We start from the raw sequence: 25,116 nt of genomic DNA on the forward strand, positions 1-25,116 counted from the left end.
TCAGTGTTCAATGTTTACATCAATTTTTTTTTTTAAGAGATAAAATCTTGCTCAGTCACCCGGGCTGAAGTGCAGTAGTATAATCATGGCTCATTGCAGCCTCAAACTCCTAGGCTCAAGCGATCCTGCTACCTTAGGAGAATCTCAAGTAGCTGGGACTACAGGTGTGTGTCACCACGCCTAGCTAATTTTTTATTTTTATGTAGAGATGGGGTCTCACTGTGTTGCCCAGGCTGGTCTGAAATTCCTGGGCTCAAGTGATCCTCCTGCCTCAGCTTCCTAAAGTGCTGGAATTACAGGTATGAGCCTCCACACCCTGCCCAGTGTTTACATTATTATGACTGCATATATTCTTTGAAGCTGAGCCATATATTAAAGTGATTTTTCCTCAATAAAACTTTTTGTAGATAATTGGAGTTAATACCCATTTATGTTGGTGTTTTTAACTGTAATTCAATCCCAAATTCCATTGAGATCAGACCCTTCAAAGTATACTATTGGTTTCCCTTTCTTAAAGTCTCTTCTAGACTGATTTACTTGAATGCCTGGAACATAGCTGTCTTCCTGGGACCTCCTTTCATCTTAACCCTGGAGATTCATTCCCTTCATCAGCTCTCTCCTACTCAGGATCTCCTGTTATAGTGTCCTTTTCTTGGTTTACTCCCTCTTTTGATGAAACACATTTTCCAGTGGTTTCCTGAGAATAGGTATGTAGACTATTCCATAGGTTTGAGCCTTTACATGTTTTTAAATGTCTGTTTTAGTCTGTCTTCATACTAGGTTAGGAATCATTTTCCTCCTAATCAGAAGCCGTTCTGATTCTTGATACTTGCTTTAGCCCTGTTTTTTTCTCAGTGAAAGCTTGTACTTTGTCCCCAGTGTTTTAAATTTCAGTGATGTGCCTCATTGTGACTCTGTCTTTTCACCCATCATGCTGGGTACTCATTGGGTTCTTTAAAACCGGAAACTCATGTCCTTCAATTTTAGGAATTTGTCTTTAACTTCTTTGCTGCTGCTCTCCCCTTCATTTTCTCTATTTCTTATCAGACGTCTTGCTATTTGGATGTTGATTCTCCTGGACTGACTCTGTTTTCCCCTCCTATTTTCCATCCCTTTTTCCTTTTGCTCTACTTTTTAAAACCTTGTTTATGGGAACAGGCACAGTGGCTCACACGTGTAACTCCAGCACTTTGGGAGGCCAAGGAGGGCGGATCACTTAAGGCCAGGAGTCCAAGACCAGCCTGGCCAACTTGACGAAACCCTATCTCTACTAAAAATACAAAAATTAGCCAGGCATGGTGGCACACGCCTATAGTCCCAGCTAATCAGGAAGCTGAAGTAGGAGAATTGCTTGAGCCAGGGAGGCAGAGGTTGCAGTGAGTTGAGATTACGCCACTGCACTCCAGCCTGCGTGACAGAACGAGCCACAAGCCTTTATCTCAAAAAGAAAAGAAAAACACTTTTTTATGAAACATTTTTAACATTGCAGAAGTAAACAGAATAGTATAACGAGCCCCTGTGTACCCATCATCCAGCTTCAATAATTATCCATGGTTAATATCATTTATACCCCTTTCCATAACCCTACTCTATTGTTTGAAACAAATCCCAGACATTTATATCACTTAATCTGTAAGTATTTTAGTATGTCTCGTATTTTGTTTGTTTGAGATGGAGTCTCGCTGTGCCGCCCAGGCTGGAGTGCAGTGGTGCAATCTCAGCTCACTGCAACCTCTGCCTCCCGGGTTCAAGTGATTCTCTTGCCTCGGCCTCCCGAGTAGCTGGGATTACAGGCACGTGCCACCATACCTAGCTAATTTTTGTATTTTTAGTAGAGACGGGGTTTCACCATGTTGGCCAGGCTGGTCTCGGATTCCTGACCTTGGGTGATCCGCCCTTGTGGGATTACAGGTATGAGCTACCACCCCCAGCTCAGTATGTGTCTTTAAAATAGGTCTCTTTTAAAAAATTTAACTACAATAACTATTCTCACAACTTAAAAAATTAGCAAGAATTCCTTAATATCACATATCGAATCAATGTTCAGATTTTGTCATAATTTTTTTTGTTTTATTATTTGTGTTTGAATCAGTAAAGTGCACATATTATGGTGGGTTGATAGCTCTTAAGTCTCTTTAGCTACACTGTTTAATATGATAGCCACTAGCCACATGTGGCTATGTACATTGAAATTAAATCAAACAAATTCAGTTTCATCATTGCATCAGCCACATTTCAAGTACATGTGTGGCTAATGGTTACTAGATGGGACAGTGCAGAAGTAAAACATTTACATTACTTTAGAAAGTTCTGTTGGCAGTGCCAATCTGTAGGCTCCTCTTCCATATTTCTTTTACCTTTGGTTTTCAGCAGTTTGGCTATTATGCATGTAGTTGTTTTTCTTGTATTTCTCTGGCTTGGAGCTCACTGAGCTTGGATCTGCAAGTTGATAGTTTTCCCCAATTTTGGAAATGTTTTGTCATTCTTCAGATTTTTTTTCTGCCTCATTATGTCTCTTCTCTCCTTCTAGAACTCCAGTTACATATGTGTTAGACTACTGGATATCATCCCTCAGATCACTGAGGCTGCTTTTTTTAAATTTAATCTTTTTTTCTCTCCGTTCTTCAGACTGGATAATTCCTATTGATCTGTCTTCATGTACACTGCTTCTTTCTTCTATAGGCAACAACCTTCTGTTAAACTAATCCAGAGCATTTTCATTTCAGATATTGTACTTTTTAATTCTAGGATTTCCATTTGATTTTTTGCTGAATTTTCCTCACTGGGCTGGCTCAATTCTTTCCAAAGTTATCTTTAAGTCTCTGTCTACGATAGAAAGGCTTTCTGCAAGCCTTGTGGGGAGCTAAATTGGGAAAGAGGGCTGGAGAGTCTTAGCATTCAGTATGCATTAATTCATTTAATTCACCACCCCTCAGCCATGTCTGGCTTTTACTTCTAAGTGCCATCTATTTTATCCTCTCTAAAAGAATCAATCTTCAGTTTTGTGCAGGGCCTAGAGACCTAAGAGCTGTCCAGCAGTATAGAATCGGGGTTGGTATCTAGAAATCCTATTGACATCTTAATCCTCTCGTTTTTAACACTCTCCTCCTCTCCCCACCATACAGTTCCAGAGGTGCTACCAGTCCTAAGCCTTTGAGAATTCTGTGGTGGTATTGCTAATCCATCTGTTTTCCAGGTACCAAGTTTTTGTTGCTGTTATATCTTTTTGTTAGTATCTCTATGAATTTATACCTTGAAAATTTTTTATTTTCCCTTAGTTATGGCAGAACTTTTTCCAGGAGAAAGGAAACTTAAATGTGATTTTTCAGTCTACTGCCTCTGCCTAGAGGTCTGATAGCACCTTAACATTTTTTCTTTCCTTCCTGCGATACAACTTTATAATTAGGAACCTTAGAGGTGAACCTGTGGAGAAAGAATTGACCCTTTCCCATATATAGTTTTTGTTGTCCCTGTCTTTATTGCCTTTAAATCTCACATAAACATTGTCGAATAAGAGGCTGAATATTAATTAGAGAAAAGAAATAGACACAATGTCTCTTTTTTTTTTCTTTGAATATCTTTCTAAAACAAGGCAATATTCATCAGTCTGTTCATGTAACCTTTGATTAGGGCAGAAAGTGCTGAAGACACTAGCTGCAAAGGACACGATCTTACAGTCCTGTTTATTCATGTCTTAAGATCATTGTCAGCCAAATTTTGCTGGTATATGGCTCTGAGGAAATTCTGTCCCTTGCTACTCCTACATGTAGTTCCAGCCTGTGAGACAGTCAGTTGCAGATGGTGCTTGTCCCTGATATTTCATGTCTTGCATATGTCCGTTCACACTCAGAAAGCCCACAGCTATAGCTATTGTACCAGAAAAACTGGTAGACGCTTCCAAGCGGAAGACCTTTTCAGCGCTCCCATCAAATGAAGCAAACCAGCTTGGCATTTGCTGACGTTTCTTGACTGTTGTGCAAGCCAAACCAGTCAGTGTTGAAGCCTTCTTTGGTCTTCCAAGATCCACAATTGAGGACTGCACACTCTGATTGCATTTGTGGGACCACGATGCTCCTTGAATAGATAATGAGTCCTTGAAGTGGTGGATCTTTCGGAAACTATATAGCGATTCCCACGTCAGACAGTTGGATCCAGCGTTGGATCTACTATCCAAATGATCCCTGTAGACCTAAAAATATTCCACCTAAAATATTCCATAAGCAGTATGTAGGTACTGGAGTCTTCATTATGAAAGATTAAAACATTTTGCTGTCAAAAAATAAAATAGAAAATTACTTACTGTGATTGCTACTTCCAGTTTGACATATTCTTCATGTCCCATCAGGACTATAAACATATTATTTAATCTCATCTGAGAAATTCAATATATTATGTATTAGATATTCCTTTTTTGCTAGATTGTCCTTAGTGAGAACACTCCTTTATCTTTTTTTATCAAGATAATCGAGAGTCTACTAAGCAGTATCTTTTGTCTTTCTGTAACCAGCACTCAACTACTGGTTTCTGGGATCTTTTAGCAGTATATCTATTAATAATAACTGTCTTCTTTGAATGGCCACACATAAGCAATCGGCAAGAGTTCCATATTCTGATAAGCAAAGGTGTCTGATGGATCAGAAATCTGTCCTCAAAGTCAGGAGACAGTTAAACACCCAAACTTGGGTCACATTACCCAAGTAATAGAAATCTATGCTGATATCCTGAGAAAGGATAATGAATTTCACACAGTAGTTCTAAAATAGTAATAAAAGTGATTTGTGGGCTTTTATTTGTTAAATTCACAGGCATCTTTTTATCATGATTATAAGCTAGGAGTTAATGATGGATAATGGCATTAGTTTTATGTTTCTAATTTAATAAATGATTAGAAATAGATTTAACCTTGTGGTCTTTAGATTTAGCTTGTAGTGCAGTAGAGGACTTTGAATTCTGGACGTAAAATAGCTACCTCTTTCTCGTCCCAGCTGATAAAAACCTATATTATAGGTTGAAATTACAGAGAACTCACTCAGTTTTTTCCTCAGCTGGATTGAATTTGAGAGCCATACCCTGCTCTCATTCATGTTTACTCTCTTATATTTTGCTATAGCATGATGTTTAATGAGATGGGGAAGAAAGTACATTATTCATACTTTTTAATGAAGGGGTTATGCATAGGCTTTGTAGTATTAAGGCCCATACATATTTGAATAAAACTGCAGGAAAGCTTTGAGCCATGTGACCATGTACACATAAGGAATGTAAAATCTCATAGTTGGAAGGGATGGTCTTTAATTTTGTCTGTTTCAAACCCTATCTGTTTTTGATGGAATTCCCTCTTTCTTGGCAGTGATGGGAAAATCAGTGTGTACATGAATACCACCAGTGATTTGCTACTCTAAATGACCCATTCTGTCTTCATAAAACCCTGTTACGGAGTTGTTTATTTGGCGTTTTTTTATGTTTGTTTTCTTTGGCGCGGGGCGGTGGGGGGAGGGGCGGTAAATTGGAGTCTCACTCTGTTGTTGCCCAGGCTGGAGTACAATGGTGTGATCTCAGCTCACTACAACCTCTGCCTCTCAGGTTCAAGTGATCCTCCTCCCTCAGCCTCCTAAGTAGCTGGGATTGCAGGTGCCTGCCACCACGCTCAGCTAATTTTTTGGATTTTTAGTAGAGATGAGGTTTTTTCACCATGTTGGCCAGGATGGTCTCAAACTCTTGACCTCAAGTAATCCGCCCACCTCGACCTCCCAGAGTGCTGGAATTACAGGCGTTAGCCACCACACCTAGTTGTTTATATGAAATAAAATGTCTTCCTTTAGGTTCTATCTGTAGATCCTAGTTCTACATTTTGAGATTTTTATAAATTAAGTTTCTGAATCAAGGCACCCAGGGCCTGAAAGTCAATCAGGTGGGCCTGTAATGAAAACATACTCCGTCTGAATTTATTTTCTTTTTTTTTTCTACTTAAGGAAAGCCTAAGTTTATGGAAAGGCATTTATATAATGTCAGTTTTATTGTTCTAATTTTAGAAGAAAATCCATTTAGAAGGAGGGACCCTGGTAAATGTAGTTGGAATCAGTTATAGTTTGGAGACTGAAGGAAAATATTATCTAATCACTTTTGAAAAGTGTGTGAATGAAAGATGATCCTTGACTTGGTAGCAGTCTTCCTTTCCAGGAACCCCTGAAGGAGTTGAAGGGCAAGTACTCAGAACAGGAAAGCACAGAACTTCTCGATTCCATAGCTCCCACTGTGCTCCTGACAGTAATATGTATATGTATATGACCTTCTTCCCCAGTGGAACTACCCAGAGACAGCATCTGTGTTCAGTGGCCTGCCCATCTGTCCAGTCATCTTGACAGTCACGTGTCCTCCTTTTGTCCACGTAAGGTTGTACTGTCCACCAGGCAGAACATAGGCATAACAGTGAACTCATTTGATTTTTATCTTGCAGCTAACTAATCTGAGGATGTATGCTTAATATCTAGAACCTAGATTTGATTCTAGATCAGTTTTACCCCTGGATTGAAAAATCAGTTATGTTCATTGACACCAATTACTGCCTATTATTACTGAAGTTTGTTCTTTTATTGAATTTCTACTAGGTCTTCTATGACATATTAAATTAGAGTGGAATTTTAATCACTTTAACTGATAGTTTTCTAGTCTTGCCTTCACGATTTTTTGATTCAATACAGTATGTATTAAATGCTTTTGTTTGTTTTTTTTCAGTCAGGGTCTTGCTCAACTTCCCACGTTGGAGTTCAGGGGCACAAACATAGCTCACTGCATCCTCAACCTCCTGGACTCAAGTGATCTTCCCACCTTAGCCTCCCAAGTAGCTGGGAATACAGGTACATGCCATCACACCTAGCTGACTTTTTTTTTTTTTTAATTTTTTAATTTTTTGTAGAGTTGAGGTCTGGCTATGTTTCCCAGGCTGGTCTTGAAGTCCTGGGCTCAAGCCATCCACCTGCCTTGGCCTCCCAAAGTGCTGGGATTACAGGCATGAGCCACCGCACCCAGCCTAAATGTATTTTTAAAGTTTAACAGTAAACCCAGGCTGAGCGCCATGGCTCACACCTGTAATCCCAGAACTTTGGGAGGTTGAGGCAGTTGGATCACTTGAGGTCAGGAGTTCGAGACCAGCCTGGCCAACATGGCAAAACTCTGTCTCTGTCTCTACAAAAATACAAAAAAGTTAGCTGGGCATGGTGGCACACGCCTGTAATTCCAGCTACTCAGGAGGCTGAGACAGAAGAATCGCTTGAACCCAGGAGGCGGAGGTTGCAGTGAGCCGAGATTGTGCTGTTGCACTCCAGCCTGGGGAACAGAGCAAGACTTCATCTCAAAAACAAAAACAAAACAAAACAAAAACCCAGTAAGCCCTACATAGCAAATAATAGCTCAAGTTGTGCCTCTGCCCCCCTCTTCCCACCCCTCACTATTAACATAAACAATATTCGAAGATGAGACAGCAGCAACCAAGGGCACATCAGCCAGTACATGTAGCTGTGTAGCTATCATTAAAGGGAAAAAGAAAGACTGGTCCCTTTCGGCTTATCTGTCAGGCAGGCTGAAAGGCCTGTGAAATTATTGCTGACTGTTTCTGGCAACTGGAACTATATAGAGTAATTCTATTGTAGGCTGCTAGAAGAGGAGAGGATTAGGGGCCAGTAAGATTTCTGAAGAGTAACTGGGTTGATCAATATAGTATCACAGGTGGGTTATACATTGGCAGAAAGCAGTCACATATACATTTGCTGTAAGTTCTGGATTTATTTTATTTAACTTATAAAACTTTCAAAATGAGGGAGCTACCCAGGAGTAGGAACAGATGCAGTGTATCTTAGCATGATTTTCCCTTGATCCTGGGTTCCCTGTGAGGCACACAGCTGCCAGTGACATAGGTATGTCACTGGCATACCTATGTCAGTGACTTTCACATACTGGTGAAAGTTGCTTAATTCTTGCTATACCACTGGCCTGTTCCATTCAAGTAACCCTCAGGTAAGTTACCTGTTATACTCAGATATCTAACTTATAGCAAATGTATATGTGACTGCTTTCTGCCAGTGTATAACCTCCCTGTGATACTATTCTGACCAATCTTTTTTATTGGCCCCTAATCCTCTCCACTTCTAGCAGCCTACAACAGAATTACTCTATATAGTTTCAGTTGCCAGAAACAGCCAGCAATAATTTCACAGGCCTTTCAGCTTGCCTGAGAGATAAGCCGAAAGGCACCAGTCTTTCCTTTTCCCTTTAATGATAGCTACACAGCTACATGTACTGGCTGATATGCCCTTGGTTGCCGTTGTCTCATCTTTGAATACTATTTATGTTAATAGTGGGGGTGGGGTGGGGCTGAAGGACAACTTGAGCTATTTGCCAAGTAGGGTTTACTGTTAAACTCAGGTAACCATGAGTATAACTGGCCAGTGCTATAGCAAGAATTAAGCAACTTTCATCTGCCCACTCGGAAGAGCTTGCATTAACAGTTTCTAAGCAGAAAAGGCAAAATCCTACCAAAGGTCTCCAAGACCTTGGGTGATCTAGCTATGCCTTTCCCTCCCTCCTTTCCTCATTAACTTCATCTGCTACTCCTCCTCTTCACTATAGCCATTCTGGTCTCCTCACTTATCTTAGAATAGGGTATGCTGCCACCTCATGACCTTTTAATTGACTATTGTCCTTGTCTGGAATGTGCCTTCTCCTAGTCTCCATATCGTATAGCTTACTTACTTACTTTAGGTTTTTACTAAAGTAGTACCCAAAAAAAGAGAATAGAATGATAGTTACCAAAGGATGGGAGGTGAGGGGAATGAAGAGAAGTAGGTTAATGGATACAAACATACAGTTAGGTAGAAGGAATAAGTTCTTTTTTTTTTTTTTTTTTTAAGTCTCACTCTGTTGCCCAGGCTGGAGTCAATGGTGCCATCTTGGCTCACTGCAACCTTCGCCTCCCAGGTTCAGCCTCCCGAGTAGCTGATTACGGGTGCCCGCCACCACACCCGGCTAATTTTTTTATTTTTATTGGAGACAGGAGTTTCGTCATGTTGGCCAGGCTGGTCTCGAACAACTAACCTCAAGTGATCTGCCCACCTCAGCTTTCCAAAGTGCTGGGATTACAGGCCTGAGCCACCGCACGCCTGGCTAAATAGTACCTTTTTAATAAAAGATTTTCTCACTTCACTCCCAGTACTACCAGTCTCCCTTATTTTTACCCCATAGCATTTCATTATATTTTAATTACTACTTAATTATTTATTACCACCTCCTGCTCCTCTCCTACTAGAATGCAAATTCCAAAGGAACAGCAGTTTTTGTCTATGTTTTTCCCACCACTGCTATGTCTCCCAGGGCCTGGAACGATGTCTGGCACACAGTAGGTGCTAGATAAATATTTGTTGTTGAATGAGTCTTTTTGCTTTCATTTAGGAAAGTATTAACCAGCATCAGATTCATCTAGTTCTTGAACCAAACTAAGCAAGGCTATCTCTTCATCTTAACAAACAGAGTATCCCTAAACACAGCCTCTGCCTGTTGTTTCTCAGCAGCCTTGCGTTCTATCCTCTGACTCTGATACAATACCCTTTTATCTGGATAGGTCTGGTCCTGGTCCCAAGTTTAATCTGAAGACTACAATCACAAATTCATTTTCTCTCAAGTAGGCAGAGCAAATATTAGAAGCTGTTGCTTCCTTGATATTAGGAAAGGCAAGATCACAGCACATTAATGGACCCTGTTTTCAAAACTGGAGATGACTAGGAACATAGCACATGTTAACTGTGCTCACATTTTGGGAATTTTTTCTGTTGCTAACTTACGTCTGTATGTCTCTTTAAAATAAAACCAAATTGCCACCATGAGACTATTAAATTATTATCCTAAAGAGCCTTAGACTATTTTGGTTAATTTAATATTTCTAGAGTAAATTTGGAAGCTCAAAATCAGAGTAAATGAGGAAGTTCAAGGATGCTCTTACAAGTGTTTTGGAGCCTCAGGGAAAACCGAAATCATTTAGATGCCCGACAGGAAATGGTGCTGAGCAAGCCCTTTTTACTGTGAAAACAGAAGAACCCTGTCTTTTTCCTAATCCTGATAGACACAAAAGTGTAAGGAGGCAAACTTTAAAAGCAAGTGCCTGCTGGGCACGGTGGCTCACGCCTGTAATCCCAGCACTTTGGGAGGCTGAGGCGGCAGATCACTTGAGGTCAGGAGTTCAAGACCAGCCTGGCCAACATGGCGAAACCCCATCTCTACCAAAAATACAAAAATTAGCCGGGTGTAGTGGCATGCGCCTGTAGTCCCAGCTACTCGGGAGGCTGAGGCAGGAAAATCACAAACTCAGGAGGCAGAGGCTGCAGTGAGCTGAGATCCCACCACTGCACTCCAGCCTGGGTGACAGAGCAAGACTCCGTCTCAAAAGCTAGGGCAAAAAAGTTGTCTTTTAGCAATAGATATTCATTATTTCTCTTTACTTTTAAGAAAACAATTTTTTCAGGTATTCAAAACAGTCTTTTGCCTTTAAATGGAAAAAAAAGTTTTTAAAAAAGGGTAGTCATCTAGCACTTTTCAATATCAGGTTTTTCTTTACTTGCTATTAGAAAGTTTACTTTGGTGGGAAATCGGTGTGATAAGGAGTGAAAAGACTGAGACACATAAACTGAAATTCAACTTTGGAAATGAATTTTTTTCACTCAGTGAGACTTAAAAAATGAACCACCCAGCTGCACTGGATTTTGTGTTGGAACTTTGAGGGTGTTTTTTTTTGTTTTGTTTTGTTTTTTGGAGACAGCATTCTCACACTGTCTCCCAGGCAGGAGTGCAGTGGCGTGATCACAGCTTACTGCAGCCTTGACCTCCCAGACTCAAGCAATTGTCTCACCTCAACCTGACCAGTAGTTGGGACTGTAGGTGTGCACCACCATGCCTGGCTAATTTTTTATTTTTATTTTTGTAAAGATGAAATCTCACCATGTTGCCCAGGCTGGTCTGAAACTCCTGGGCTCAAGCAGTCTTCTGCCTTGGCCTCCCAAATTGCTGGGATCACAGACAGGTGTGAGCCATGCCTGGCCTCCACAGTTTAGATGGCTGCAGTGATGGCTATGGGTGGGCTACTTTTTCTATCCTCCACAAAGGTAGTCTTTCATGAAAATTGTGACCTACTCACCCTTTTTCCAAATGGCTTTACAGGGGCAGGGTGGGGGATTCTCTTTTAAAGAAGTACTTGAGAATCTATTTCAGTTGCAAAATAGTTAACAAAATTTGATTTGAGTAGTTCTGACCTTGCTGTGCTTTGGACTCCCATTTGACAGCCCTGAAGGTTCGTCATTCTAATTTACTCCTGCCCAAATGGTGATTTTGACAGTTTAATCCAAAGTCTTTTAAAGCAATGTCTATTCATACCACTTTACAATCTTTATCTAATCTTTAGTGTTCTGAAGATTTAATTTGCTGACATTTCTAATTTATGGTCTAAATTATTTGAGAGTTTTTTGAGATTGAGATTAAGCAGATCTCATAGCAGAATGGGTACTACAGGAGAAGTCATAGTATTTCAGTTTCAGTGTCTTTTGGTTTCTGTTGGCTTCCTTTCGAATCAAGGCTTTACTAAGAGAGATTGGCTCTTAGGAGCTCATTGCCTTTTTAAAGCCCAATAATTATATGTGCTACTAGAGGATTTACAATTTTAGAGATCATCTGGAGGGCTCTGTTCAAAGCTTTCATTTCTGGTTCTGAGAACTGTTTAAATATGGAAACTTCAAACGCTGAAGTGCATATTAGGGACATGGAACCACTGCCTAATCTGTCAAATTTTCCCTATAAAGGGTTCCACTGTTCACATACTCTTAACGAACAATGTCCTAATGTCTCCTGAGAATAAATCAGTATGGCTTTATACTCAGGATGAACAGCAGTTTGGTACCATTTGAGGCCTCCTCAGCTATCATGTAATACCCCTGATCTATTGGGTGGACTGAGAAAGAATATGGGAAGAGAGTTCTTGTTTGAATCCTAGCCTTGGAAGTGAACTAAAGACGCTGTCCAGTTTAAAATGGAATTAGCACTGGAAGGAAAGTCAATTGACATTTCCTGTGGTTCATTACTCTTTCTGCTATGTTTTTAACTCTATCAGATACTGTCTAATATCATAAATAGACCTTTCTGTTTTGTCAGGGTCTCTGAGAATTCCCAGATAATTCATTGGTCAATAGAGTTTGAAATGCTATTTAAACTTTGGGTCACCAAGCACAGTGGCTCATGCCTGTGTAATCCCAGCACTTTGGGAGGTCAAGGTGGGAGGATCGCTTGGGGTCCAGGAGTTTGAGACTAGCCTGGGCAACATAGTAAGACTAGTATGTCTAGTCTATTCCAGTATGTAGACTAGTGTCTACAAAAATAACAGAGTTAGCCAAGCATGGTGGCACATGCGTGTAGTTTCAGCTACTCACGAGGCTGAGATGGGAGGATCACTTGAGCCCAGGAGGTCAAGGCTGCAGTGAGCTGTGATTATGCCTCCACACTCCAGCCTGGGTGACAGAGCAAGACCCTGTATCAAAAAAGAAATTAAAATAAATAAAATAAACTTAAGATGGTAGATACCTTTTGGCGTTGATTAGAAATGCAGAACTACATGTTAATTTAACTCCAGCACCTAGCAGAAACGGCCGCTTCTGCTTGAGTCTCAGATGATATATATCACATAGTTGGAGTAAGTACCATTAAAAACCTGTCACTCCGAGCCATTCCCCTAGGATCTGTTGACTAGGTTGTGTGGTACTTAAAACACATCTGAATCATCATTCCTCAGAGAACTGGAGATGGTTGACGTCACTGCCTGGTCCTAGCTTGGACCAGCCTGCATATAATCATTCCAAAAGCTAAAAGGAGAAGAGAAATAAAAGAAAAAAATAATTCTTCAGAAATGTGGAAAGGTCACAAGTGACGTTATGGAAGAGCAGATGATATAATCTCAAAGGCGAGCCCTGTACTATTTCACTTGGTTTTCCTTGTGGCAGTGCCTCCTTTGGTTACCTGTGGTGAGAGGTCGGGTAAGAGGCCTCATTTGCCAGAGTTCAGACTGAGTTCATGTTATACCTTTTTATAGTACTTTTGAGTATACTGGTACAAGGTTAGAATATTAATTTAGCCTGTTCATCTCCAGCTGTCCCACCATAAAGAGATTGTAGCTCCTGCAGCAGGCTTTCTATACTATGGAAAGAAACTAATTGCTGGTTACAGGCTTAAGCTGACAGGTTGTTCTTTCCTTAGCAGCCTCTTAAAGTAACTTTAAACAATCATTGTTATTATTAAGCATTTATAGCCTGCTTTTGTGTTTTCAAAGTGCCTTATAATTTCTGTTTGCTTTCCTATTGATGTCCCTAAAAAGCAAGTTAATATTGTTATGGTCACATGTTGCACATGACATACCAAAGAAACAGAGGGTTAGGTAATCTTCTTGGTACCATCTGTGATCTGCTTTGGGCATTCTCAAAGCAGAAGCTGAGGTGTGCATTCTCTTCCTTCACTCATTGAACCCATTTTCTCACTGCTTGCTTTAGTGTGTGTGTATTGTGGCTTTTATACTTTTTTGACTGCAACTTACAGTAAGAAATGTATTTTACATAGTGTATACACACACAATATGTAAAACTGAACAGTTTCAGGAAATATTACTTACTCTTCATGAGATGCACTGTGATATTTTTCATTTTATTTTTTTAATGCCAGTTTGAACCCACTTAGTTAATTTTAAGAACTACCGGTTGGTCATGACCCACCAAGCTAGGGATACTTGAAGCTAAAGGATACACAATAGCACATTTTCCTAGAGCATCAGTTTTATTGAAAGGTAAAGAGAGAAACACATATTAAAACATATATGGGTACATTATGGGATTTAGCATGGAACTTCAAAGATATTTTGTTCTTATGATAGTCTACTTCATATTATACCCCTAATCTTGACCCAGCCCCATGCCTCCTTCACAGTATGTGTCCATTCTTTCCTCTTCTATTACGGGAAATACACTAGAAAAATGTGAGAAGTACTGTGCTTTTGGGACTTGTTTGTTCGTTTGTGAGACAGGATCTCACTCTGTTGCCCAGGCTGGAGTACAGTGGTGCAGTCATAGTTCACTGTAACCTTGAACTCCTGGACCCCTATCCTCCTATCCTCTTATCCTCGTGCTTCAGCCTCCTGAGTAACTGGGACCAAAGGCTCATGCCACTGCAGTCAGCTTTTTTTGTTTTGTTTTGATAGAGACAAGGTCTCACTTAGGTTGCCCAAGCTTGTCTCGAACTCCTGGCCTTAAGTGATCCTCCTTCCGCCTTTGGTCTCCCATAGTGCTGGGATTACAGGAGTGAGCCACTGTACCAAGCCCCATAGAACTTTTAAGTTCATTATTGTGTAAACCCAAGTGAGGTCAGAAACTTTGTATAGTTTATTTTACAACTGTTATTCTTACTCAGCACCTATTCTGTGCCAGTCACTATTCTAGAAACTGAGAATATTGTGACAAATAGAAGACAGGAATTCTTTCCCTCATGGAATTTATATTCTACCACAAGTGGGGTATGTGGCATGGGGACAGGCAATAAACCGGCAAATCAGTACAATACATAGTATATCAGATGGTAGGGAGGACAGTGGAAAAATATAAAAGAAGTATTGGGACAGTGGAAAAATATAAACTGGAGTTGGAGGTTGGGTGGTACAGTTTTACAAAAATATGTTGGTCATGGAAGACCTATCTGAAAAGATAATATTTGGTTAAAGCAAAGACTCAAAGGAGACAGGGAAAGAATCATGGATTTCTGGAGGAAGAGCATTGTAGACAGAAGAAACAGCAAATGCAAAAAGCCATGAAGTAGGAGTGTACCTGCTATGTGCAAGGAAGGAACAACAGGCTCCTGCAGCTGGATTAGAGCTAGCAAGGAGGAGAGTATTAGCACGACCTCAGAGAGGTTGGAGGAGTTGGATTATAGGCAATTGCAACTTGGTTTTTATTCTGAGTGAGATGGAAAGGTTTGAGCAGAGAAATATTTATGAGCTGACCTACATTTTAAGATCACTCTGGCTGCTATGTTGAGCATATACTGGGGAAGCTAGGTGCTGTGAAGGGAATGTATAGGGGGATGTGGCTGGAAGACTAGTGGAGAGGCAGAGAGACTGTTAAAGGCTTTGCAGAATCCCATAGTAGTTACCGAGTTTGGAAAGACAGCAGGAGGTTGTATTTGGAGGTGGGGAGGGGAGATTAAGAGTTTGGTTTTACCACAATGAGATACTATCTCACACCAGTTGGAATGGCTATTATTAAAAAAATTTTTGAAAATAACAGATGCTGGTGAGGTTGTAGAGAAAAACACAACACTTATACACTATTGAAGAGCATGTAAATTAATTCAACCCTTGTGGAAGACAGTGGTGATTCCTCAAAGACCTAAAAATGGGCCGGGCGCGGTGGCTCACGCCTGTAATCCCAGCACTTTGGGAGGCCGAGGCAGGTGGATCATGAGGTCAGGAGATCGAGACCATCCTGGCCAACACGGTGAAACCCCATCTCTACTAAAAATACAAAAAATTAGCCGGGCGTGGTGGCCAGCGCCTGTAGTCCCAGCTAGGCTGAGGCAGGAGAATGGCGTGAACCTGGGAGGCGGAGCTTGCAGTGAGCCGAGATTGCGCCACTGCACTCCAGCCTGGGTGACAGAGCCAGACTCCATCTCAAAAAAAAAAAAAAAAAAGACCTAAAAATGGAAATACCACTCGACTCAGCAATCCCATTACTGGATATATACCCAAAAGAATACAAGTCATTCTATCATAAAGACACATGCACACCTATGTTCATTGCAGCACTATTCACAATAGCAAAGACATGGCATCAACCTAAATGCCCATCAGTGATAGACTGGATAAATAAAATGTGGTACATGTATACCGTGGAATACTATGCACCCATAAAAAAGAATGAGATCATGTCCTTTGCAGGAGCATAGATGGAGCTGGAGGCTATTATCCTTAGCAAACTAACACAGGAACATAAAACCAAATACCACATGTTCTGACTTGTAAGTGGGAGCTAAACGATGAGAACACATGGACACAAAGAGGGGAATAGCACACACTGGGGTCTGCTAGAGGGTGGAGGGTGGGAGAAGGGAGAGGATCAGGAAAAATAACTAATGGGTACTAGGCTTAATAGCTGGGTGATAAAATAAGCTGTACAGCAAATCTGATGACACAAGTTTACCTATGTAACAAGCCTGCACATGTACCCCTGAACTTGAAATAAAAGTTCAGTTTTAGACATATTCTTTTTGAGCAACCTATTATCCAAGTGAAGATATTAAGTAGGCAGTTGGTTATATATGTGATCATTGATTTCCCTCAAGCAATCTAGGCATGATGTTATAGCTTTTGGAAAATAGTTTAGAACTTGTCTGGATTATATCTTCCTACTATCTCTACCTGTTGGGATAGTGAATTTTTAAATAAGAAAACAAGAAACTGTCTTTCTCTTTTCCTGTCTCCCTCCAACAACAATATCATGCTCTTTAAAGCTGATTTAGTTATATTTAAGAGCAATCAGCATCAGGATTGGAATTAAACTGGCTTCATACTGTGTTTTTCCCTTGGTTCTTTTTTAACACCCAAAATATGATTGGCATATCCTTGGAGGACCTAGCATTCTTTGGGTTGTGATCCACTACCTGTGTTGTCCTTTCTTAGCATGTAGATATTATTTAACTCAGTGATTTGAAACCAAAAGAACCCATACATCATCCCATCCCCCCATTCCTGCCTCATTGAGAATCAGTGTGCCTAATCAGAGATGTTGCTGATGGGATTCTGTTATGTATATGAATGATATGGAGGTAGAAAAAATGTTGAGAAACACAGTGTTTCATTTTTATTTGTTCAACATCTTCCACTTATTTTCATGCAACAAATATTTTTTGAGGTAGTCAATATGCTAGCGAAGATGAGAGACAGACCCTCCACTCAAGGAGCTCATTGTATTATAGGTGAGCCGGAAGTAAGCCATTATTATATGCTATCATAGAATTGTATGCGTTGGGTGCTGTGGGGAGGTGTTAGAGCTTTCTGGGAAGTGTTAATCTTGAACTGAACCTTAAGGTTAAATAGGTATTTTCCAGACAGTGCTAAGCTTAAGGAGAAGAAAATATTAAGCAGAAAGAACAACATATAGGCTGGGTGCGGTGGCTCACGCCTGTAATTCCAGCCCTTTGGGAGGCTGAGGTGGGCAGATCACGAGGTCAGGAATTCGAGACCAGCCTGACCAACATGGTGAAACCCCGTCTCTACTAAAAATACAAAAATTAGGTGGACGTGGTGGCACACGCCTGTAATCCCAGCTACTCAGGAGGCTGAGGCAGGAGAATCGCTTGAACCCGGGGGGCGGAGGTTGCAGTGAGCCGAGATCGCGCCATTGCACTCCAGCTTGGGTGACAGAGCCAGACTCTGTCTCAAAAAAAGAAAAAAGAAAGAACAACATATAAAAAAGGTACAAAGCTGTGACTTTCAGTGTTTGGGGAATAAGAAGTAATTTTGATGTGGTTGAAGTTAAGGAAATAGGCTGGAGAGGTAGTCTGGAGTCAGATCTGGGGAAGCCTATGTTACTGAAATGAACCCAGTTCTAGCCTAGAGTGAAAATATGAGAGCTGCAAAATACAGATTTTGAAAAGCTAATGTAAAAGAGATGAACTGCTTCCCCCAATGAATGACCTGTGTAGTTGATCCTATAAAGAGATGACAATTTACCAAGGCAGTAGCAAAAGGAATCATTAAGCTAACAATCTGCCGATAAGCCTTTTAAAAAGTCTCTTCTAATCTCTTTTTTAACATAATAGTAGTACTACATCTGAGCATATGTAAGATTTCAGATAAGTCTAATGTGGTTATCCTTAATTAGGATGCTGAGTAAAAAAGGTAAAACAGGAGATGGTGAAAGCAGAGTGAAATTTTTTTTTTTTATTTGAGATGGAGCCTTGCTCTGTTGCCCAGGCTGGAGTGCAGTGGTGCAATCTCAGCTCACTGCAGCCTCTGCCTCCTGGGTTCAACTGATTCTCCCACTTCAGCCTCCTGAGTAGCTGGGACTACAGGTGCATGCCACCACGCCCAGCTAATTTTTGCATTTTTAGTAGAGATGGAATTTTGCCTTGTTGGCCAGGCTGGTCTCAAACTCCTCACCTCAGGTAATCCGCCTGCCTCAGCTTCCCAAGGCTCACATGGTGGCTCACGCCTGCTGGGATTACAGGCGTGAGCCACTGTGCCCAGCCGAATTTTTCTTTTTTGAACAGACACTTTCTACAGTACTTATGAGTCAAGGCTGTTCACTGTGCTGTGCAAATATTAACTCATTATCCTCATAACAACCCCATGAATTTAGTACTTTGTGATCTACATTTTACAGACAGGAAACTGTCAGAGTCAGAATTTGAAATCAGGTGTTCTGGCTCCCAAGTCCATGCTGTGAACCTCTGTATCTGCCGCTTCTGATGTGTGGGTATCCTAGCTCCTCAGAAAATTGTTCTACAGTAGAAGTCCCAGGAAAGCCCTCAGGGTGTCCCAAAACTCCTGAAATTCTATGGCAAAATGTTGTGTGTACATTTTTCAGCAAGAGAGTCAGTGGCTTTCCTCTGTTTGTCCAAAGGGTCTACAGTGCAGAACAGTTTAGCACCACTTACCTAGAGGACCTTTTTGTGTCCTTTCCATTGTTAAAAGGCTCCTGTTGGCATAAGGATTCTTTTGGAAGAACAAGATGTTTACAAACCCATTCAGACTTCTTAGATAACAATGTTCTAAATTAATTGCTTATCCGGTTGATCTTCCTGGGAACTTTTTCCCAAATATTTATGCCAGGTCCCAGATTCAGAGATTGTAATTATTTCATGTAGGGTAGGGCCTGGCATCTGTTTTGAAAAGCCTTTCCAGATGATTCTGATACAGGTCTTCAGTTAAGAACCACTAATATTATCCTCTAGAGAATGGGGATACTACTTTATAGTCAAAGATAATCACTTGCATTTCACATGAGACCTTTACATGACCCACCATTAGCCTACCCCCATCACCCCAGTTTTCACTTTTTTTTTTTTGAGGCAGTTCACTCTTGTCACCCAGGCCAGAGTGCAATGGCACAATCTCGGCTCACTGCAACCTCTGCCTCCCGGGTTCAAGTGATTCTCCTGCCTCAGCCTCCCAAGTAGCTGGGATTACAGGTGCCCGCCACCACACCCAACTAATATATATATATTTTTTTGTATTTTTAGTAGAGATGGGGTTTCACCATCTGGCCAGGCTGGTCTCGAACTCCTGACCTCAGGTGATCTGCCTGCCTCAGCTTCCCAAAGTGCTGGGCTTACAGGCATGAGCCACCACACCCGGCCCCAGTTTTCACTTCTAAATGTTCTTTACAGAGCCTAGCGCTGTCTCAAGATCTTCTTGGTGCCCTTATTTGAAATAAGAATTCTCCTCCCTTACCTGCCAAGTACCAGATGAGTTAGAAAATACTCTTTCCCGGAAGCCCACGGCTGGCATCAATCTTTGAAAGTAGTGCTCTGGTACATCCCTTGTTGTTGTTGTTGTTGTTGTTTTGTTTTTTGTTGTTGAGACGGAGTCTTGCTCTGTCACCAGGCTGGAGTGCAGTGACACGATTTCGGCTCACTGCAGCCTTGCCTCCCAGGTTCAAGCGATTCTTCTGCCTCAGCCTCCTGAGTAGCTGGGACTCCAGGCATGTGCCACCACACCTGGCTAATTTTTTGTATTTTAGTAGAGACAGGGTTTCACCATGTTGGCCAGGATGGTCTCGGTCTCCTGACCTCGTGATCTGCCTGCCTTGGCCTCCCAAAGTGCTGGGATTACAGGCGTGAGCCACCGTGCCCGGCTTCCCCCCTTTTTTTTTTTTTTTGACAGAGTCTTGCTTTGTCACCCAGGCTGGAGTGCGGTGGCGCTATCTCAGCTCACTGCAGCCTCCACCTCCCAAGTTCAAGCTATTCTCCCACCTCAGCCTCCTGAGTAGCTGGGACTACAGCCACGCGCCTCCACGCCCAGCTAATTTTTGTATTTTTGGTAGAGACGGGGTTTCTTCACGTTGGCTAGGCTGATCTTGAACTCCTGACCTCAAGTGGTCTGCCTGCCTCATCCTCCCAAAGTGCTGGGATTACAGGCGTGAGCCACTGCACCCACCCATGCTCTAGTACATCCTAAAGAATGCCTTTAGTTCCTCTTTCCTGACATTACTCTGCTTAAATTCCCCAGATTCAAGCTTTTTGAGAATCCTATCTCAGCATTTTGGGCATCAGGCCATGTTATATATAGGTCACAAACTCCTAGCCTTGTTAGTTGACAGGTTAAAAGCAAGGAGAATAATTGGATGGACACTTCTGGGAGAGAGAACGCAAATATTATGGAGAAGGGAATACAGGCACCATTTAAAGTAAGGAAGGTAAGTTGATACTAAATGTAGAAGGACTGGAAGTACTTTAGAAAGAGGATATTTGGATCTCATAGCCACAGTTTTAAGAGGTCAGTATGCTGTTGAAGTGTAGACATTTGCCATAAAAGACAGAGAGTGAGAATAGTGTACTAGATAAGCACTTTTTAACTCTGTTTTTAGAGCAAAATGAGAAAGAAACAGGTATAGTTACTGATCATAGAACTTGCTCAGATAAATGTTTTCCTACAGCGCTAAGAGCATAGATAGGAAAGTCATTAGTGACAGAAACCAGTGGGAGGTGGTGACTTAGAGCAAGTCTCCTCCTACTCCCTCTTCTTACAGTATAAGGGCCTTATGATGTGCTGCTGTGCAATCTGCCTGTTCCTGAATGTATATACCAATCAGTGTTGCCCTGAATAAAAGTACTTACTGTAGCTTTAAAAAAAAAAAACAAACAAACAGGATGCTCTGAATTAAGCAGGCTATGGTAGAATCATAGTCGAGAAGTTTGTATTGTGAGAAGAAAATTTATTTATTTGCTCGCTTAAAGGTTTTTTGTTCTTATAGTCATCAGGTTTACCAGTGTTGGGCCAAACAAGCTTTTTCCAACCATAAGACCTGGGAAATAAGGTTTTATAAAAGAAACAACTTTAAAACTGATATTTAAAAAAATAAAAAATAAGAGATAGTATGGCACTAGTTATTGTGGGGAGAAATAAAAATCAAGGTTTAGCGTCAAGTTTCTGTTTGAATCGTAATTCTTCTGTGTACTAGCTACATGACTCTGGATGTTACTTAGTCTTTCTAAACCTGAGTTTCATTATCTGCGAAATGAGAGGGGAATGATATCTACTTTGTTTGAGATCATTATAGTGTGAGTTAGAAATAATATCATTAATAGGTAACTTAGTAAGTGGTAGCAGCTACTATTAATAATCATAGAGAAAAAAATCACAGACTAGATTATTCCTGGTATACAAGTTGTGCCTTGAAGACAGGCCTTCTGGAAGGAGGTAGAGTTGCAGGTTGTCACAGTTCTATGACAATGGAGTAAGTAAGGGTGTGCTTTGCAGTATATGGGCCAGTTTGTTTGATTTGGGGAGACCTGCACTGAGAGAAAGAGGAAGGAAATAGGGAGGCCTATTTCTAGACACAGCGCTGTTCTTTTCCTCCTACCTGGCTCCCTGCGATGTCCTCATTTGACCTTGTTGCTTTCCTGGCAGGTGGCTGTGAAAAACAATATCGATGTCTTCTACTTCAGCTGCCTCATCCCACTCAATGTGCTTTTTGTAGAAGATGGCAAAATGGGTAAGTACCTTCCTGCCTGTCCTGCTGAATATACCTTTGCCCTTCCTGTGCATGTCAGGCAGAGCATAGCCCCAGAAGTTTTGAGTTATTTTGAGGTTAAAAAAAAATGGGTTAAGGATATTCTAAAGCTCTTAATAATTGCTCATTATTTATTCTCCTGTGTCACAATTGTTCTTGCTCTGCCATTGGTCTCTAAATCACAGTGCCCAATATCTGAATAATCCAGTCACCCCAGGATACAGAATAAGAGGTTTGGGGACCAGGTAAATATGGATTTGAATCTCAGCTCTGCTATTTATTTGCTGTGTGACTGGTCAAGGTGATAAACTTTTTGGAACTTCCGCTTCCAAATTTGCAGTGTAAATAATTTTTATAATTATTTCATGAGATAATACATGTAAATTTAGCACTTTACTCTGTACTAAGTTCATACTGCCTCAAGCTAAGAATTCAGTAATTTGTAATAAACCGTCAGAACTCCCGATGTGCCTATTGACATTTCTCTCTTCCCTTATTTATGAATCACAATCTAATAAAACTGGCTTATATTGGTGCATATTAAACTATGTTGGCACTTAATTGATTTGATTCTTACAATAGCTCTTGGAGTAGGCAGGACAGATGTAATTATAGATAAAGAAATTAAGGCTCAGAAAGGTCATAAGTCACCAAAATAGGAAAACAAGGGAGCCAAAATGAAACCCTAGATATAGACTCTTTTCCAATTATCCTAGTGTTACTGATGACGGATTAATTGATCTGAAGTATAGCACTTTTGTAGAGCTCAGCATTGGCTCCATTCCCAGCCTGCTGCTAGCTGTATTGCAAGAGCCAGCATGCCAAAGGAAAAATGATGCAAGGCATCGAAAATCAGAATACTGACAGCTTATGCACATCCATCCTTCCCCTCTGCTTTCCCATACAGAGCGCCAGGTCTTCCTTGCAACATGGAAGGATATTCCCAATGAAAATGAACTTCAGTTTCAGATTAAGGAATGTCATTTAAATGCTGGTGAGTAATATACTCTAAATTTCAGTTTCATCTTAGTAAATCAAATTAGATATTTGAAATTTTAATCTTTCTTTTGCCTACCCTTTTATCCTCCCCCGTATCTACTATGTTTCTAGTGGGTATATATGGTAGATGCATTACTTTGCAAACCTCTGTTTAAAAACGTGATATGTTTTGATGTAGGTACTAGATTACTTACAAGCTAACATTTAAGAAACAAGCTAGAATCGACCCATCTACCCATTTCTTCACTAAAGATGTGTTAGTTCTGTTACTTAAACATCCTAATAATCAAAAACTGAAGTGGCACTTGAGAACATGCACTCCCTTAGTAATTGAAAGGACCATTTTCTTCTTTTATATCAATTTTTGGTGTTGGAGGAAGGTTAACTTTCTTTCTTAGATTCTGTACTTAGAACCCTGTGTTTATAATGAAATAATGTATCATCATTAGTGAAAGCCTCGTTGGGCCAAGTATGGTGGCTCATACCAGTAATCCCAGCACTTTGGAAGGCCAAGATGGCAGGATCTCTTGAGTCCAGTTCAAGACCAGCCTGGACAACATAGTGAGACCCCATCTCTATAAAAGAAAAAAAAGCCTAGTTGGTAACCTTTTACTACACTGCCCTGTGCCACCTTTCATATGATGATACTAACCTCTTTAATCACCATTAAAGAGCTCCGTACTCTTTCATAGTTAACTTTGTTACTGTAAAAGAACATGAAAGGGGTATCCCAAGAAGAGAAACAATAGCAGCTATTAGTCCCTTGGGCTGTGTTTCTCTGAAGGATTTCTCAGGAATGAAAGGAGCCCTAAGTTATTTAGAGTCCTGCCTTTGTTTCACTGTTGCTCTCTCTTTCTCTTTAGAGCTCTTTCTTTCTCTCCTTTTGAAGTTAGTACTAGGCTTTGTGAGTTTGAATGAAAGTGAGCCTTGGTGCTTGGTCGGTACCTCCTCTTTCCTCATTTACCCCTCATTTACTCCTGCATACATTGGTGGTTCTCATAAGGGATTTCCAGCACATTGCCATCCTCCCATTGCAGCTGGAGCATAGCACTGGGGAAAGGAGGCAACACGGCAGCACAGAAAGCAAAAAAAAAAAAAAACACACACACACACAAAATAATGCCTTCTCATTCCAGCTTCCCCCACCCCACTCCCCGGCCCAAGATGGAGTCTCGCTCCATTGCCCAGGCTGGAGTGCAGTGGCACAATCTCGGCTCACTGCAAGCTCCGCCTCCCGGGTTCATGCCATTCTCCTGCCTCAGCCTCCAGAGTAGCTGGGACTACAGGCGCCAGCCACCACACCCGGCTAATTTTTTTGTATTTTTTTAATAGAGACGGGGTTTCACCCTGTTAGCCAGGATGTTCTTGATCTCCTGACCTTGTGATCCGCCCGCCTCGGCCTCCCAAAGTGCTGGGATTACAGGCATGAGCCACTGCACCCAGCCCAGCTTTTTAATTTTAGTTTTTTATGGCTCTATGTAATATTCATCTTCTGTGTTCAGATGAATCTTATAGGGCTTTTGAAATCCAACATCATAGTGATCAGCTTTATCCTGTGATACCTCTTTTAAATGTGATGCTCCTATAGGCCCTCTCTGAGACATTCAGGAGACTGAAGCCCTCCTGGAACCCTCAGAATAAAAGACATTCAGACAGGCATCTTTGCATATAGAAACTTCAGGCAGATGTTTGCCTCTGATAATTGTTTCACGTCTCTGGAGCTCTTGGAGAGGTGTTTGAAGCATGGTCTTCTGTAATTTCCATCATAATAATTAATTGTTTCAATTAATTCAGTAATAATTGATTTTTTTCATTTTGTGTCATATTTGAAGAAGATGACAGTGTCATCTTTCCCTCACTTTGAGGCTCACTGGTGGATCCTATTAGAGGAGCCACCTCTGTACCCAGCTAGGAAGAGACCAGGCCCCTGGTTATATTCACCTTTGTGGGAGTTGGTTCAATGGCAACATTTCAAATAGAATGTTCCTCAGAACACTTTTCCCTTATGAAAAAGGGTTTTGGGCCGGGCACAGTGGCTCATGCCTGTAATCCCAGCACTTTGGGAGGCCGAGGTGGGCAGATCACGAGGTCAGGAGATCGAGACCATCCTGGCTAACATGGTGAAACCCTGTCTCTACTAAAAATACAAAAAATTAGCCAGGCGTGGTGGCGGGCACCTGTGGTCTCAGCTACTCGGGAGGCTGAGGCAGGAGAATCAGCTTGGATCCAGGAGGCGGAGCTTGCAGTGAGCCAAGATCGCACCACTGCACTCCAGCCTGGGTGACAGAGCGAGACTCCGTCTCAAAAAAAAAATAAAAAT

General features: G+C 41.2%; 1 protein-coding gene across 13 annotated transcripts in view; it reads left to right on the top strand.

Moving 5' to 3' along the window:
- Window positions 1–25,116, top strand: part of AP2B1 (adaptor related protein complex 2 subunit beta 1) — a 139,092-nt gene that overhangs the window by 100,208 nt on the left and 13,768 nt on the right. For 7 of the 13 annotated variants that reach the window (XM_011524450.3, XM_047435509.1, XM_011524449.4 and 4 more), the window contains 3 exons: window positions 20,385–20,480; window positions 21,695–21,779; window positions 22,705–22,791. In XM_011524450.3, coding sequence (XP_011522752.1) covers window positions 20,385–20,480; window positions 21,695–21,779; window positions 22,705–22,791 — 268 coding nt within the window. The remainder of the gene's footprint in view (window positions 1–20,384; window positions 20,481–21,694; window positions 21,780–22,704; window positions 22,792–25,116) is intronic. The other 6 variants (XM_005257938.4, XM_047435510.1, XM_005257937.5 and 3 more) reach the window with 1 other exon arrangement.

This window comes from Homo sapiens, chromosome 17 (assembly GCF_000001405.40).
Source record: "Homo sapiens chromosome 17, GRCh38.p14 Primary Assembly".
In the NCBI taxonomy this organism is placed as follows: Eukaryota; Metazoa; Chordata; class Mammalia; order Primates; family Hominidae; genus Homo; species Homo sapiens.